Source organism: Homo sapiens, chromosome 1, assembly GCF_000001405.40.
Source record: "Homo sapiens chromosome 1, GRCh38.p14 Primary Assembly".
Taxonomy (NCBI): domain Eukaryota; kingdom Metazoa; phylum Chordata; class Mammalia; order Primates; family Hominidae; genus Homo; species Homo sapiens.
This window is the reverse complement of record NC_000001.11, coordinates 26,286,487-26,302,286: the sequence shown is the minus strand read 5'-3', so window position 1 is coordinate 26,302,286 and position 15,800 is coordinate 26,286,487. Positions and strand designations below refer to the sequence as shown.

General features: G+C 55.9%; 1 protein-coding gene across 5 annotated transcripts in view, besides 7 other annotated features; it reads left to right on the top strand.

The window, feature by feature from the left end:
• Positions 1-15,800, top strand: part of UBXN11 (UBX domain protein 11) — a 36,074-nt gene that overhangs the window by 16,069 nt on the left and 4,205 nt on the right. For 2 of the 5 annotated variants that reach the window (NM_001389556.1, NM_183008.3), the window contains 6 exons: positions 565-593; positions 1,263-1,361; positions 4,225-4,325; positions 4,806-4,860; positions 5,292-5,368; positions 7,956-8,082. In NM_001389556.1, the coding sequence (NP_001376485.1) occupies positions 565-593; positions 1,263-1,361; positions 4,225-4,325; positions 4,806-4,860; positions 5,292-5,368; positions 7,956-8,082 (488 nt within the window). The remainder of the gene's footprint in view (positions 1-564; positions 594-1,262; positions 1,362-4,224; positions 4,326-4,805; positions 4,861-5,291; positions 5,369-7,955; positions 8,083-15,800) is intronic. The other 3 variants (NM_145345.3, NM_001389559.1, NM_001077262.2) reach the window with 2 other exon arrangements.
• Positions 10,908-11,721: an enhancer, noted in NCBI's record as "H3K27ac-H3K4me1 hESC enhancer chr1:26617057-26617870 (GRCh37/hg19 assembly coordinates)". NCBI's record gives its function as "activates a minimal SCP1, AML or CMV promoter by ChIP-STARR-seq in primed H9 embryonic stem cells {active_cell/tissue: H9 hESC(primed)}" and the evidence as "EXISTENCE:reporter gene assay evidence [ECO:0000049][PMID:30033119]".
• Positions 11,421-11,480: an enhancer, noted in NCBI's record as "active region_491". NCBI's record gives its function as "activates an Ori minimal core promoter by ATAC-STARR-seq in GM12878 lymphoblastoid cells {active_cell/tissue: GM12878}" and the evidence as "EXISTENCE:reporter gene assay evidence [ECO:0000049][PMID:35858748]".
• Positions 11,491-11,630: an enhancer, noted in NCBI's record as "active region_490". NCBI's record gives its function as "activates an Ori minimal core promoter by ATAC-STARR-seq in GM12878 lymphoblastoid cells {active_cell/tissue: GM12878}" and the evidence as "EXISTENCE:reporter gene assay evidence [ECO:0000049][PMID:35858748]".
• Positions 11,722-12,534: an enhancer, noted in NCBI's record as "H3K27ac-H3K4me1 hESC enhancer chr1:26616244-26617056 (GRCh37/hg19 assembly coordinates)". NCBI's record gives its function as "activates a minimal SCP1, AML or CMV promoter by ChIP-STARR-seq in primed H9 embryonic stem cells {active_cell/tissue: H9 hESC(primed)}" and the evidence as "EXISTENCE:reporter gene assay evidence [ECO:0000049][PMID:30033119]".
• Positions 11,722-12,550: a biological region, named in NCBI's record as "H3K27ac-H3K4me1 hESC enhancer GRCh37_chr1:26616244-26617056".
• Positions 12,411-12,550: an enhancer, noted in NCBI's record as "active region_489". NCBI's record gives its function as "activates an Ori minimal core promoter by ATAC-STARR-seq in GM12878 lymphoblastoid cells {active_cell/tissue: GM12878}" and the evidence as "EXISTENCE:reporter gene assay evidence [ECO:0000049][PMID:35858748]".
• Positions 12,561-12,840: an enhancer, noted in NCBI's record as "active region_488". NCBI's record gives its function as "activates an Ori minimal core promoter by ATAC-STARR-seq in GM12878 lymphoblastoid cells {active_cell/tissue: GM12878}" and the evidence as "EXISTENCE:reporter gene assay evidence [ECO:0000049][PMID:35858748]".

The following is a 15,800-nucleotide window of genomic DNA, read 5'->3' as shown; positions in this document are numbered from 1 at the left end:
CTGAGTTCAAGCGATTCTCCTGCCTCAGCCTCAGTAGCTGGGACTACAGGCGCATGCTATAACACCTGGCTAATTTTTTGTATTTTTAGTAGAGACGGGTTTCACTGTGTTACCCAGGATGGTCTCGATCTCCTGACCTCGTGATCTGCCCACCTCGGCCTCCCAAAGTGCTGGAATTACCAGCCACCGCGCCTGGCCCCACTTTGAGTCATTCTAAGGCCTAGAAGATTCAGAGAGGTTAAGCAACAGGCCTCACAGCCTTTGCAGAGCAGAGCTGGGGCTGAGCTCATGGGCTTTGCAAGCCTTGTAGTCTTCCCACCTAAGACTCTGCTCTTCACCCCTTCCCCATCCTTCTCCACTGGGTGAAGTCAGACACCTCGAAGCCTGTCCCTTGTCTCACCCCAGGCTGGGGCTGGGATTTGGGGCTGGAAGTCCTCAGGAGTTAGAGGCCCTGCTTCCATCTCTTTGAGCTTTGGCTGAAGTCCGGTGCCCAGAGCCTTATCCCTGGTATCATTCCAGGGGCCCTAACTTATATTTCTTCCTTCTTCCTGCCTGGGTTCCCAGGAGGCGAGGAATCCGCATCTATGGAGATGGTAAGTGTGCCCCGCCCTCGTGCCCTCTTCGCCTCTCATGTGCTTGCACCTCCTACAGTTGGACCGATGGAGAGAAATCACACGAGAAAGGCCCTTGTCAGCTGGAGCAGCGGCCTCCACCGTGTTCTGTGCAGCTCCCATGCTGTCCTCCCTGAGGGCTGGGCTTCCCTCCTGGAAGCTCTCAGATTAGGAGGCCCCATACCCTTGGCACAGATGTTGCCACTCACATTTGAACCCCTTGACCCACTGTGGGACTGGCCAGTGTGTGCCTAGAAACCAAGTGAGGGCCAAGAGATTACCCAGCCCAGGGGTTTGGATCCCAGCCCCCCTTCCCCCTCCAGCCTCCTCCAGTGTGACAGCCTTTCTCCCGGGAGGCCTGTCCACACATTGCCACCCTGACTCTTGTAGCTCAGGCCTTTGGATCCCTGCCCCCCAACTCTCCACCATGGCATTGGCATTGGCCATGCCAGTCCCCCTGGGAGCAGGACTGGAAGAACTCCAAAACAGCCCCATTCTGGTTGGATCCTTGCTCCCCAGCCTTGTGAATTCTCTCTCCTCAAACTCCCTGGGGCACAGTGCATAGGCCGCGTCACACTGGCGAGGGCCCAGGGCCTGAGTTTCCTCTGGGTCTCCGCCCCAGAGCGGTGACCTAGGCATCCCTGTCTGCAGAAGATGAGGTGGACATGTTGAGTGATGGGTGTGGCTCAGAAGAAAAGATCTCAGTCCCTTCCTGCTATGGCGGCATAGGTGCCCCTGTGAGTCGGCAAGGTGAGAGCAGAGGCCTGAAGGGTCTGGGTCCTGGCTGCAGGAGGGGGCCCCAGAGACGGGGCAAGGCCTAGGGAGGCATGGCCCTTCCTCTCGCCTGTTTGGTCTGAGGCAGCTGCTTCCACTCCTGGCTGATTGTGGCAGGGACCTGGCTTGGCATAAAGCCACACAAGCCCCACCCTTAGCTCAGGAGGCCGAGGCCCAGCCCCAGCCCCAGCCCCAGGCCAGGCTGTGGCTATAGTTACCAGGTGTGATATCAGTGGGCTCAGGATTCAGGGTCAGAGAGGGATGAAGTCTGAGGGTAGAGCTCAGCTTCCTGCTTCTGCAGGGCTCTGGCAAGGCCCAAAGTCGCCTAGACAGTCTGCTTAGCTTGGCAGAGGGCTGTGGCAATGCTGAGCTCATGGAGGCACCTAAAGTGGGATGGGGCTAATCAGGGTGGCTTCCCAGAGTGGGGATTTAGCAGGTCTGAGAAAAGGGGAGACATGGGCAGGCAGGGATGAGCCCTGCAGAGTGCTGGGCGGGATCTGGGGATGCTGGGGATAAGGTTAGAACTTTCCACTAGCTCACTAGCTGTGGTATCTTGAGCAAGCAACTTCGCATCTCTCTGTCTCTGAGGCCTCCTCTGTGAAGTGGGCATGGGAACAGCGAGGGCAGCGTGTTGGGAGGATTCAATGAGATGCTCCTCGGTGGAGGGCCCCTGGCCAGCGCCTGTCACGCGAGGTGCTCAGTGTGGTGGCTGCCCATCAGGAGGCCAGCCATAGGGAAGGGCCTGATGATTCTCCCTCAGGCCCCTTCCATTTTACCGGAGGAGGGAATTGAGGTGGAAAAAGAGACAGGAAGAGCCTGGCCTAAGGTTCTGCGGCCATTTCACCACAAAGCCAAGATCTCCTATACCCTGGCTGGGGTCAACTTTCTTTTTTATTTTATTTTTTTTGAGACAGGGTTTTGCTCTGTCATCCAGGCTGGAGTGCAGTGGTGCGATCATGGCTCACTGCAACCTCAGCCTCCCAGGCACAATCAGTCCTCCTGCCTCAGCCTCCCAAAGTGCTGGGATTACAGGCATGAGCCACCATACCCAGCCAGGTCACTTTCAGTAGTAACCATGGCAACCAGGTTCTCTCTTTGAAAGAGCTCCAGGTGTCCTCTCCCTGCTTTCCCCTGTCATCCCCTCCTCTCCCACTCCCAGCCAATATCTGTCCCTACCAAGGTAACAGATGAGGACTTGCCTATCTTATTTTACTTCTCTGCCAGCAGTGTCCTATACTGTCCACTGCTCCTTCCTTCTCAGGACCTCCACCAAGCTCTTAGGCACCAAGCTGCTGCCCTCCCATTACCCTCTGCTTCTAGGCTCTGTCTCTTAGCTGTCATCACCACCTCCTTTTTTCTCTCAGGTTTTTTTTTTGTTTTTTTTTTTTTTGGAGACTGCCTTGCTCTGTTGCCCAGCCTGGAGTGCAGCGGTGCAAATCACTACTTACTGCAGCCTCGACCTGTCAGGCTCAAGCAGTCCTCCCACTTCAGCCTCTCAAGTAGCTGGGACTACAGACACACACCACCATGCCTGGCTAATTTTTGTATTTTTAGTAGAGACAGGGTTTCTCTATGTTGCTCAGGCTGGTCTCGAACTCCTGGTCTCAAGTGATCTGCCCGCCTCGGCCTCCCAAAGTGCTGGGATTACAGGTGCGAGCCACTGCACCCAGGCCCTCAGCTTTTCAATGTGATGTTCCTCTGGCCTGGATTCTCCTCTGTGTCCACTGTGCCCCAGTGAGCTCACCTGCACTCCATGTGTAGACAGTTCCCAAATGTTTGTCAATTAAGATGCATTTAACTATAAGTCAAAGAAAACCCTTCCTCAGCCAACAAGAACATTAAGGAAGTTTTGTTATCCCACATGCAAAGAAATCCTAAAGAGGCAGCTCCAGGGGTGTTAATTCAGTGACTCCAAGACATCATCAGGGGCTCAGGTTTCTCCATCTTTCCACTGAACCTGCCTTGACATGTCAGCCTCATGTGGTTGTAGGATGATGGCCGCGGTTCCTGCTTCATACATAGAAAGGACACTGTCTAGGGGAAGAAAAGGAAAAGGCCTGCTTCTTCCTGTAGGTTTCTCTTCTTTTCCATTTTCATACTTTTTTTTTTTTTTTTTTTTTTCTGAGACAGAGTCCCTCACTCTGTTACCCAGGCTGGAGTGCAGTGGTGCGATCTTGGCTCACTGCAACCTCCGCCTCCTGGGTTCAAGCGATTCTCGAGTAGCTGGGATTACAGGCACCTGCCACCACGCCCGGCTGATTTTTGTATTTTTAGTAGAGGCAGGGTTTCACCATGTTGGCCAGGCTGGTTTTGGACTCCTGGCCTCAAGTGATCCACCTGCCTTGGCCTCCCAAAGTGCTGGGATTACAGGCATGAGCCACCGCATGCCCGGCCCTGGCTACTGTTTTCTACAGCACCCCGCATTCTGGCTTTGTCTGGCAGTTTGCCCGTGGGGTATTTGCCTCACTCCTCTATCTGCTGTTTTGCGTACCAACTGGACACTAGATTTGGAGGTTTGATTAGATCGAGGGTGAAATTCTTGGCAATGCTTCAGGGTGATGTCACCCATATGTTACACCACTTCCTTGTATATGTTGGACAAATTACTTGATCCCTTTGTGTCTCAGTTTCCTAAAACAGTTCATTTACCTCCTGGGTGTGTTTCAAGGATTACAGGGGGTTGATCTACATGAAGTGTTTAGAACAGTTCCTATGATGCCAGTGGGAGCTGCTCTCAGTACCTTCATTTCCATTCCTGGGACCCCTATCCTCCTCCCTCCCCCCCACAACTCAGCCTCGGCTCTAGGTCTGGGCTCTAAAGACTTTGTGTGCTTGGCAGTCCCTGCATCCCATGACTCGGAGCTGATGGCCTTCATGACGAGGAAGTTGTGGGACCTGGAGCAGCAGGTGAAGGCCCAGACTGATGAGATACTGTCCAAGGTGGGGCTCCAGGTGGGAGAGGGCCAGGGGCCGGTCTGAGAGGTGGAGGGACTGGGCTGGGGAGGCCAGGAGTTGGACTAGGGTGGGTGATTCTAGAACCGTCTACCACACTGACCTGCCCAGTTCGAGGACCAGGTGTGGCCTGGGCCTGATCTAGGTCCTGTGACCTGAGCCGAGAGGCTGGGGGGTCTTCCCCTCAGCTGAGCAGGACCCAGTAGACCCTGGACTGGGTGGCACAGTGGACTGCTGAGCAGAGCGCGGCACCCTCAGATGTGGGGGTCCTCAGGTGTGGGCCGCACCTCTCCCTACCTCAGAGGAACTGCGAGGGTTATCTGAGGTCCGGGAGAAGTGGCTGTGCCAAAGGGTGGCAGGGGCTTGCTGCTCCCCAGCATCCAACATAGGCAAAGCTCTGGAGCTTCCTGTCTGGGCAGGGCTCTGGGAACCACAGGCCCTGTGCTCACCCTGTGTCTTATGCTACAGGATCAGAAGATAGCGGCCCTAGAGGACCTGGTGCAGACCCTCCGGCCACACCCAGGTAGGGGGCTCTTGGAGGGCTGACCTGCGCCCCCAGTCAGGCACCTCCCCTGGGCCCAGGGCTCCTGGAAGCTTCACAATGGCTTCTGGCATCAAGAGCATCAAGCTGACTACTTGGTGGGGTCTGGACAGCTGAGCCCACAGAGGGGCTGCAGCATATCCAGGACAGTGCTGGAGTCACTCCATGCCCTCCTACATGGGACCGAGTCCCATCTGAAGTGTGGAGGAGAGGAGGCTCTGAGGGGAGTGGCAGCCTCCTAGGGCCCATCAAGGCACCGCCACGGGGTCAGAGGAGAGGCCAGAGAGGTGGGGGGCCAAGAGGCAGTTCTTGGGGGATCCCCAGAACAGCTTCTCCAGATGACCCTCAGGGCAGAGGTGACCTGGCAGTGTCTTGCTGGGGCAGCTGAAGCCTGTCCCTGTCTTTCCCTGAAGCCGAGGCAACCCTGCAGCGGCAGGAGGAACTGGAGACGATGTGTGTGCAGCTGCAGCGGCAGGTCAGGGAGATGGAGGTGAGAGAGCTGGGCCCCGGGGGATGCGGGCAGCCAGCAGTCCCCAGCTCTTCACGGCATGTTCCTCAGGAGCTGGGTCCGAGCCCACCTCTCTGGGCCTCTCCTCGTCACATCCCACCCAGGGACCCTGCCCTGCATTTCCCTACCCAGGACTGGCCCAGACTTTAAAGAGCCAGGGAGGTGTCTGGGGCTGGGGCACACCCCTGCTTTTGGGCCCTCTGAACATGCCTCTCCCCTGCTTAGCAGACCTCATGGCTCCCACTGAACTGAATTCTACAGTCCTCGCTGTGGCCCCTGCGGGCTGGCCCCTGCATGCCTCTTCATCTTAGCTTGAACCACTCTCCCCTCCAGCCATGAGGCCCTTCCTCTGGGTCTTTGACCTCATGGAGCTGCTTCCCACCTCAGGGCCTTGGGCCGTGCTGTTGCTGTTCCCTCTGCTGAAATGTTTCCCCACCTCCCCCAGGTCAGTTCCACTGTCCTCAGTCATATCCCCCGGGCCTCCTAGGCAGGTTTTCCATCCCGAGCTTTCTCAGTGCCTCATCTCTCTTCCCTTGTGGGACTCTGAACTCCACGACGGAGGGAGCAGTTTCCTCCTGTATGTCACTGTGCACCCAGGACCTAGCACTGAATTGGTTAAGCAATTTGCTGCCTCTGGCTGTGACTTCTGCTCACTGGGGACTCAGTGACCCCAGTCACCTTTCTTTCCCCCGCTCACAGACCCATTCAAACAGCAAGGGAACTAGAGGGACACCAGGCACAGAGAAGGGTCCCAGGCACGCATGGGCCCTGCCAGAAGTTCTTCCTGGGATTCAGCCTCTCTCCCTCTCCACGCAGAATTGGTTTCCAAAGTCCCAATCTAATTTAAAACCTTGGCAGCAAACCTCCAATTGCAGCTGAGAGCCCTTCCCACTCCAAGCTGTTCATACCTGGGGTTGTCCCCGAGCAGTGGCCACAGGCGGTGAGGGCTGCACCAGAGCCTCGGGGCAGGGGCATGACTGCCCTTGCATGCGTCTCCGCCACACAGTTATCACTTCATTCATTTAACAGCCTCATCTGGAGGATCTGCTTGGGGCAGGCCTGGGGCAGAGCATGACCAAGACAGACATAGTCCCCCGCCTGCATGAGGCTGCCAGTCTGTGGGGAGGGGAACAAACGAGTACACAGGTACACAAGTACAGAGAGTGCTGTGACTTGATGAAATGGGTGACACCACAGAGGCAAGTTGGGGGACCACCTGCGGGGGTGACATTGGGCATGATGTCTGGTGAGTGAGGAGGGGAATGGGGTGAGAGGATCCAGGCCTTAGACAGGGAAGGTGCCACTTCCCGCCACATAACTTGGCTTGCGGTCGGTGGCTGTGTGGAGGAAGGAGAAGAACGGGAAAAGAGAAGAGGTCGTGGGGGCCTTATCACATTGGAGCCGCCCGTGGTTCTGGCTGGATCCTGTCCCGAAAAAATGGGAAGCCATTGGAAGGCTTCTGTTTGAGAGGTGGCATGACAAAAAGACCACCCTGCTTTGTGGGGTTGGGTGGTGTGGGTGAGGAGAGGACGGGGGAAGCAGGCGCCGCCCCTGGATTGTCCAGGAGAAAGATGACGGTGGCTTGAACTAGGGTGGTGGCAGCAGATGGAGCCCAGTGGATGGGTTCCAGGCTGCATTGGAGGGGGCACCACAGGCCTTGTGGGTCATCCTGGAGGAATGGGCGACAGAGGATTCTCAGGTGGAGGGGGTGCCATTTCTGGAGACAGGAAAACCTGGCACGGGGGAGGTTTGACAGGGGGACAAGAGCCACAGCCATTAGACATCCAAGTGTGGACGGTTGGAAATGTGAGTCTGGAGCTCGGGTGAAATCTGCATAAATACAAACTTGGGTTCTGTCGTATATATTTGGGAGAGCGTGTGGATGGAGCTGGGCCCCCATGAGTTGGTGTTGGATAGGAAGGGGAAACGGTGAAGGAAATTGGAAAGGAACAGCCCAGGAGATGGGAGGAAAACTAGCAGATGGTGAAAGATAGACAGAAATGTGCCCATGCGCTTGGCAGCGGGTAGGTTGGTGGTTGCAGCACCTTGAGCAGTTTCAGAGAGGTATGGCGATGGAGCCAGGTTAGAGTGGCTTGAGAAAAGAAGTCGGGGTGTGGACATGTAGACAGTCCAGAAGTTTCCTGTGGCAGAGGGGACATGCGGCCAAGCCCTAGGGAGGCTGGCACATGGTTCACATCCCTCAGCCCTGCCTCCTTCTCACACTTGGGCCAGGCCACGTGATTTCTGCAGCCAAGGAGGCTGACCTTACCGAGCCCTCGCATGGGCTGGGCGCTGACCTGAGTGATCTTACTGAGCCCTCCTCACAAGCTTATGTGGCAGGAACTGTCACTCCATTTTATTAGAGGAGTCGTCTGAGGCTCTAGGGACTGAGGTGGCTTTCCAAGGTCACAGCCAGGAAATGGCAAGATCCCCCTACTCATCCCTTTGTCTGGTCAGCTCTGGGGGCCCCATTGCCTGCAGACTGAGGCTGGGCTTTGGGCTGACACTGCCTTTCCCTGGGAAGGGGCTGAGCTGACGGTGCCCCGCATCTCCCCCTTCTTTCCCACAGCGGTTCCTCAGTGACTATGGCCTGCAGTGGGTGGGCGAGCCCATGGACCAGGAGGACTCAGAGAGCAAGACAGTCTCAGAGCATGGCGAGAGGGACTGGATGACAGCCAAGAAGTTCTGGAAGCCAGGTAGAGCAGGGCGTCTGCCCCAGGCCCTCTTCAAAAGGAATTCTCCAACAGTTTGCTGTTGGCCGGCAGCTCCCCAGAGGCCTATCTCATTCGTGCCCGGGTCCCTGACCCAAGACGCCCTGAGAGCCCACAACTTGCCCCTGAGACAATGTGGGAGCAGCCTTGGCCTCCATCACTGACCACTTAACCTGCTGGCCCACTTCTCCACGGTCCTACCTCTGCTCTCTCTTGCTCATCTGTCAGAGACCCAGAGATACAAGAGGTAGCAAGGCCTTATTTGCCTCAGGTCACATAGTCTACAAAACGCCACCAATCTGGAAGATGTTGCCGTTTTAAAAAAAGGCAATCCTTCTGTTCTAGAAGCTGCTGCCAAATTCCCAGGTTTGGCCTCCCTCTCCAGGTTTGCTTATGGCCCTTGGAATCCACCTGGTTCTGTGGGCCCCTACCATGTCTTTTTTTTTTTTTTTTTTTTTTTTTTTTGAGACGGAGTCTTGCTCTGTCACCCAGGCTGGAGTGCAGTGGCACGATTTGGCTCATTGCAACCTCTGCCTCCCAGGTTCAAGCAATTCTCCTGCCTCAGCCTCCTGAGTAGCTAGGATTACAAGTGTGTGCCAACACACCCAGCTAATTTTTGTATTTTTAGTAAAGACGGGGTTTTACCATGTTGGCCAGGCTGGTCTTGAACTCCTGACCTCGTGATCTGCCCACCTTGGCCTCCCAAAGTGCTGGGATTACAGGTGTGAGCCACCACGCCTGGCCTACCATGTCTTATTTTTAACTTCTAATATCTAGAGGGATTCCTCCCACAGTCCCCTCCTATAGACCCACAGATTTGGGTCCATAAAACTGGCCATTTCTGAAAACCAGGCCCATTCTCTTCAAAGAATGGAGATTGTCACCCAAAAGATGCTTCTCCAGGCTCTAGAGTCAGGCACACCTGGGCCCTCAACTCGACTCTACCTCCTATCCCAAGTGTGACTTGGGCAGATGACCTCTATTCACTTCATCAACAAAACAGGAGTGTTCTTCCCTGGGAGTTACAAGGAGCAAATGAGTTAAACGCAGAGCGCCTAGCTCTGGCCTTGCAGCCATTGTTGTTTCCAAAGTCTGAGGGCAGGGGTCCCACGGGAATAGGAGCACAGCTTCCAAGGGGCCCATTTGGAAGATGACGACACCTTCTTGGTTTCCTGCTAGGTAAAAACCCAGATTCCAAACATGAGAATCCTGCCTCCTGTTTAGGCCTGGGCTCTGGCTGGATCCCCCCAGATCTCAGGGTCTAACGCCCTCACTGCTTGTTCTCAAAACATCACTTCCCATTTTTGTGCCATTTGCAGCTTTCTTTTTTTTTTTGAGATGGAGTCTTGCTCTTGTTGCCCAGGCTAGAGTGCAATGGCACAATCTCGGCTCACTGCAACCTCTGCCTCCTGGGTTCAAGCGATTCTCCTGCCTCAGCCTCCTGAGTAGCTGGGATTACAGGCGCCCACCACCATGCCCGGCTGATTTTTGTATTTTTAGTAGAGACAGCGTTTCGCCATGTTGGTCAGGCTGGTCTCAAACTCCTAACCTCGTGATCTTCCCGCCTCGGCATCCCAAAGTGCTGGGATTACAGGTGTGAGCCACCGCGCCCAGCCATTTGCAGCTTTCAAAGCATTTTCTTTTTTCTTTTCTTTATTTTTCTTTTTATTTTTTGAGGCAGGGTCTCACTTTTGCCTGGGCTGAGTGCAGTGGCACAGTCATGGCTCACTGCAGCCTCAACCTCCTGGGCTGAAGTGATCCTCCCACCTCAGCTGTCTGAGTAGCTGGGACTGCAGGCACGTGCCACCACACCCAGCTGATTTTCTTTATTTTTTGTAGAGACGAGGTCTCGCTACGTTGCCAAGGCTGGTCTTGAACTCCTGGATGCCAGTGATCCTGCTGCCTCAGCCTCCCAAAGTGCTGGGATTACAGTTGTGAGCCACTGTGCCCTGCCAGCATCTTCATAGCCTTGACAGGGGCCAGGAGTTACTCCATTTCACAGATGGGTAAAGGGAGGCACTTAAGGAGTCTGTGGACTCATTATTGAGGGAAGAGGGGCAAGACTTAAGGCTGACAGCCCACTGTAAGGCAGTTGGTCACTGAGGCAGAAGATGAGATGATGCCCAGCTTGAGGGTGGGGATGGTGAGAAGGGATGGGCAGAGAGATTTAAGTAGAATCCGTGGCCTTGGTGTCTTTACATGAGGGAGAGGACCAGAGGAGTCAGGGATAACCCGAGGGAGCACAGCTGCGGGAAAGATGCTGAGTACACTTGGGACACAGCAAAGCTGGGGGCTGTGCAGTCCCTATGATGCTAGGAAGGGGAGCGTGTCCCTGCTGCCCAGGGCACTGTAGGCCCAGGCATGCCAACTCCAAAGCTCTAACTGAACCCAGGGTGGGTGTCGTGGGGAGAGTTCTCAAGGGACCCCTGGCATGAGTGAGAGGTGAGGCCCTATTGGGTGGCTGCAGGTGCTCTGAGAATGTCTATCCTGGATCTAGGCCAGAGGCCCACAAGTGCCGCACCCTGGGCCCTGCTGTGGCGGGCTGGGCTCAGGCTTCAGGTAGGCCTGCCATCTTGTTGCAGGGCAGCCTTCCTCCTGGCCAGGGGGGACCTCCTTGCTCCTTGCCAGGTGGCTGGTTTCTGGACCTGGCTCTGTGGATTCCTACTCTGCCCTGTTTGGTTGTTTGTGCTCTGAGTGCCTCAAGTCAAAGTAACTTGTGAAAAACCCTGCCCTCCATCTTGGAGGCCCTGGCCATATCTGTGGTCCCTCCGTGCGTTCTCTTCCTTCTTTTGTTCTTTGATTTTTTCAGCATGGGCGGGGGGCCTTGATTCGGCTCTTTCTGCCAGATGAATGACGTTTTTCGTCGCTAGCAGCTTCTGTTCCTGGGACATCTCTCCGGCGTCCCCGTTCCTCTCTCCCCAGGTGCCACCCTGCTCCGCCCAGGGGCCTCAGGCTCACAGCCTGGCCCCCGCTGGCCTGCCTGACACTCGGCTGATTGCTCTGCTCTCCCTCTGTTGGAGAGGCTCCCACAGGCGCTGGGGTGGAGGCCTGTGGAGGGTGAGCCAGGGCCGTCTGTGCCGAGCCAGTGGGGTGATCAAACTTCCTGGAGCCTGGGACTCCTAGGGAGGAGGGCCGGTGGGGCCATGAAGGGGCTTGGCCTCAGGCTGGATCGCTCACTCTCCCCCTCTCTCTGCCAGCGTCACAGAGCATGCTGTGCCAGGTGCTTCAGGGTCTGTGGAGACATGAAAGGGACAGTCCTGCTCTGGTCACACGCCACTGGGGCCAGGTGTTGGGCCTCGGGGCTGAGAGCTCTGGTCAGCTCTGAAGTTCTCCCTTCCCCCCCACCCTCTGCATCTCTGAGCTCCTCACTCCTCACTACTTCCCTGTTCCCCTGAGAATCCTCACCCTCTCATCCCCCTCTGAAATCCCCACTTCCCCTACCCAAGTCAGTCCCTGCCTCCCTCCATGGCTCCACCTCTCCCTGCCAGCACCCCACACGCCTCCCTCCTTCCTCTCAAGCCCCACACTCCTGAGTCTGGGTTGGAGGCCCCCTGACTCCGCAGCCTGCGTGACTTGCCCCTGGGCTTGCCCTTCAATCCCAGAGCCACCTGGCTTGACCCCTCCCCACCTGCACTTCTGCCTCCAGCCTTTGCTCCTGCTCTGTCCCCACAGAGCGCCTTGCCCGCTTCCCTCCCCTCTGAAGCTCAGGGCAAATCCAACCTCCGCCAGCAAACTCTGACTGCCCTGTGTGGGCTGTGCTGCTCTGTGGGGAGGGCTCTGCTTGAGGGAAGGGGCTAAAAGCTCTGGCTGAGGCAGGGTTCAGGTCGGGTCAGACCCCAGATCAGCAGATCGCTGACCCCCTCTGAGTTCATTTCCTCCTCAGTCGTGCTGACGGGCTCCTAGGGCCACTGAATGGATGTGGTAATAAACTGTGACAGCCACTGTCACCTAGCTGTTGTCATGCATGTCCCAGTGCTTGGCACATGGGCAAGGGTGTGTGTAGCTGCATGTGATTGGCTGTGATGCCCGTGTGCCCAGGCTTGGATGATCAGAGCACATTGGAACAGTCATCTGCACATGATGAGGTGGGGACAGGGTGGTGCGTAGCTCAATGGCAGGGGCCAGAGAGAGCTGCAGGTGGGACCCGGCAGGCCTGAGTTCAGATCCTGCCAGTCCACAGGCTGGTTGAGTGTTCTGGCGGGGACCAGACCTGCAGGGCCTCCTTTCCTGCACTGGCTCCTCTGAAGAGCAGAGTGACTGCAGTAAAGTCCCCAGAGCGGGGCCTGGCTTGCAGGTGTGTGGTAATAGTGGTTCCACTTCCTGTTGCAGCCGTCTTTGCCTGAGGGTCAAGGGCAGGCACATGGAGGGCGGCACCGCGTGAGCTGCCGGGGTGCCCTGGGCACTTGTGCAGTGAGGGGCTGCCACCTCTCCACTGAGCATGGTAGGGTCTGGCCCTCTTCTGGGCTCCACAGCCCCCACAGTGATACTTACACATGCCATTGTCGCCATTTGCCGCCCCGTCTTCTTCACTTGAGTCTGAGCCTGAGGATGGCAGGACCCTGGGCGTGGGCATCGCCATGATGGGCAGGGCCTAGCAGAGCACGGGTGCTCAGACATTTCTGGAAAGCAGGATCCAACCCTGCTTTTAGTGGCCCAGCCACTCTGGGCCAGGCCCAGGGCTCAATGCTCCTGAGCTCAAGGGGTGCCCAGCATGGCTGGAAGGCAAACAAGCAAGCAGAAAGCAGCGGCCTGTGACGAGGGCCAAGGGAGTAGGTGCAAGGGCTCCAGGCATGCAGCCTCAAGGCAGGTTGGGGGTGGCTCCTAGCAAGGCTTCTTGGAGGAGGTAGGGGTGAGTGGGCACAGCTTGAGCCCAGCGATGAGTAGGCGGTGCTAGGGACAACAACAGCCACCATCTGCCAAACGCTTCCTCCAAGCCTCACAGCAGCCCTGTGAAGTGTGGAAACTTTTATCGTCCTCATTGTACAGAAGAGGAAGCTGAGGCCCATAGAGGCCCAGGGTTACAGAGCTCGGAAGTGCCCTCCAGTGCCCACCAGAGCGCAAGGCGAGGGGCATGTTGAGGGTTGGCTGGGTGCTAAGTAAGGGTCTTGGGAGTTGGGACAAAGAGCTTGGACTTGAGCTCCCTTCTCATTTTAATACACTCGTGGGCTCTCAAAGTTGGATGAGGCCTCAGAGGTGATCTCCCAGCATTGCCACTCTCCCTGGAAAAGGGACCCCAGTAAGCAGCCTCTCAAGAACCAATATTGAGAGGCAGCCTATGTGATCACTGAGCACTGAGGCTGAGTCACTTGGGCCCTGCAAGCTGCATGATCTGGGGCGTGACAGCTCATAAGGCCCAATTTCCTTATCTGTAAAACAGAAATGGTGATGCCTGCCTCCTGGCGCTTGGCACAGGGCTGTCATTTACAGACAGGTTCACCAGCTGGATCTTGCAGGCAGTACAGGGTTCTTACCATCTCCCCATTGCACAGAAAGGATGGCTGTGGCTCAAAGAGGAAGTGCCTTTCCATTTGAGTTCTGCTGCTAGCTCAGGGCAGACCTAGGACTTGCCCTCTGACCTTACTCCTGCTGTGTGACTCCCCAGCTGCACCTCTCTCCATCCACGGGTCAGGCCTCAGTTGAACCCTGGTGGGGTGGTGGGGGCTCACTGGCTTCACAAGGCCCTGCTGTGGTAGCTCTTCCCACCTCATTCTCTCAGTGCTGGTTTGCCCAGAGCTGTGGTTCCTTCTTCCTGGCCCCTGGTCTCATCTCCACTCTATCATATCCAGCATCTGCCTGGGCCACCTGCTTTTACTTCTTTAAGCCAGGGCCATTTTCTTGGCAAGCTTCTCTCTTCCCCTTCGTCGTTTCTTGGCATCCTCCCTGGTCTCACCCCATCCCATGTCAACCACCCATGTTCATCAGCCTGAAAAACCCCCGGCCCTGGGAGGCGGCAGGAGCATTGAATTAGGAGTTGGTGTATTTGGTGCTCTTCCTGGCTCTGTCTGGTCTGATCAGGCCATGTCATCTGACCTTTCTGGGCCTCACTTTCCCCATCTATAAAGAAGACAGAGCCCTGGTAACACAGCGAGACCCCATCTCTACAATTTTTTTTTAAATTAATTAGCAGGGTGTGGTGATGCCTGCCTGTGGTCCAAGCTACTTGGGAGGCTGAGGTGGGAGGATAAGTTGAACCCGGGAGGTCACGGTTGCAGTATCATGACTGTGCCGCTATACTCCAGCTTGGGTGACAGAGGGAGACCCTTTCTCGGAAAAAAAAAAAAAAGGGTTGAGGCAGGCATTGTATGAGATGATCTATTCTGCTATTGTTTTTAGGTTTGCCTATTTGTCCTTAAGGTAGTTGTTAAAAGAAAAGTGTCTTGGTATCATTCTGTTAGGCGAGTTTTTCCTGGGAATCTCAGGGACTATGTGGGGAGCCCCCGGAGGGGCTGGGGGCAGGTATAGCCCCTTCAATGGTAGGAAATATAGGGGAGAGGAGAAGGCCAGCTGGGGCCTACCATTTCACCTGCTGCAAAAGCAACAGGAAACACATCTGCACCTCCCTGGTACAGCCACTGCACCACTGAGAGGAAAGGAATTAGGTCCCCAGAGCCCTGACCCACATCCTGCCGCAGCCTGCTTGTCCTGTTGAAAAACAGCCTCTCTGAGGCCCCAAAAGTTATTGGTGTGTTGTAGGGCACACCCAAACAGATGACTTACTTGGGGGCCAGGTCCCATCAAAGATGACAGAACAGGCCCCTGGTCTGTACCCAGCCAGCATCTACCTGCCCTCCACCTTTCTGCTCTGTTGTCTGTCACGGCTGTCCCCACCGCTCCGTATTCTCCCCTGAAGCCAGAACACAGCTGTATGCGCCACACGTGTTTCAGAAGAGGAGGCCAGAGCTTTGTCAGCTTCTCAAAGGGGTCTGTGACCCAGAAATAGTTGCACAACCTAAGGTCTGTCCCATATCTGTTCTGGCCAGCAGCTGTCCCTACATCCTCCCTGAGAGCCATCTGTCCCTCTTCTGACCTCCCTCTCCTGATGGTGCAGATGGGTGGGGGAAACAGACTTGAGAGTCAGCCCCGGCTCCCTTCCCAGTTCCTCCTCTCACCAAGTGGCTTGGGACGAGTCATTTTTCATCTCTGTGGGCCTGTTTCCTCATGTGTAAAATGGAACTAAATAACCCCTGCCTCAGCCTGGCGTGGTGGCTCACACCTGTAATCCCAGCACTTTGGGATGCCAAGGCGGGCGGATCACCTGAGGTCAGGAGTTCGAGACCAGCCTGACCAATATGATGAAACCCCATCTCTACTAAAAATACAAAAATTAGCCGGGTGTGGTGGCTCATGCCTGTAATCCCAGCTACTCAGGAGGCTGAGATAGGAGAATCGCTTGAACCCAGGAGGCAAGGTTGCGGTGATCCAAGATTGTACCATTGCACTCCAGCCTGGACAACAAGAGTGAAACTCCATCTCAAATAAATAAAAATAATTACCCCTGCCTTAAGCCTCAGGGTTGGCGTAAGGACCATGTGTGCAAGGTGGAGTTGGGCACAGTAGCAAACATGGACAGGGTGCGTGTTCCAAGCTGGCTCTTAACATGGTTACTTCTTGGAGCCTTACAGCCATCCTAGGAGGCAGATACTACTGTCATCCATTCTAGAAGAGAATGCTGCAGCACAAGCATTAAATGACCTAAGGTCACA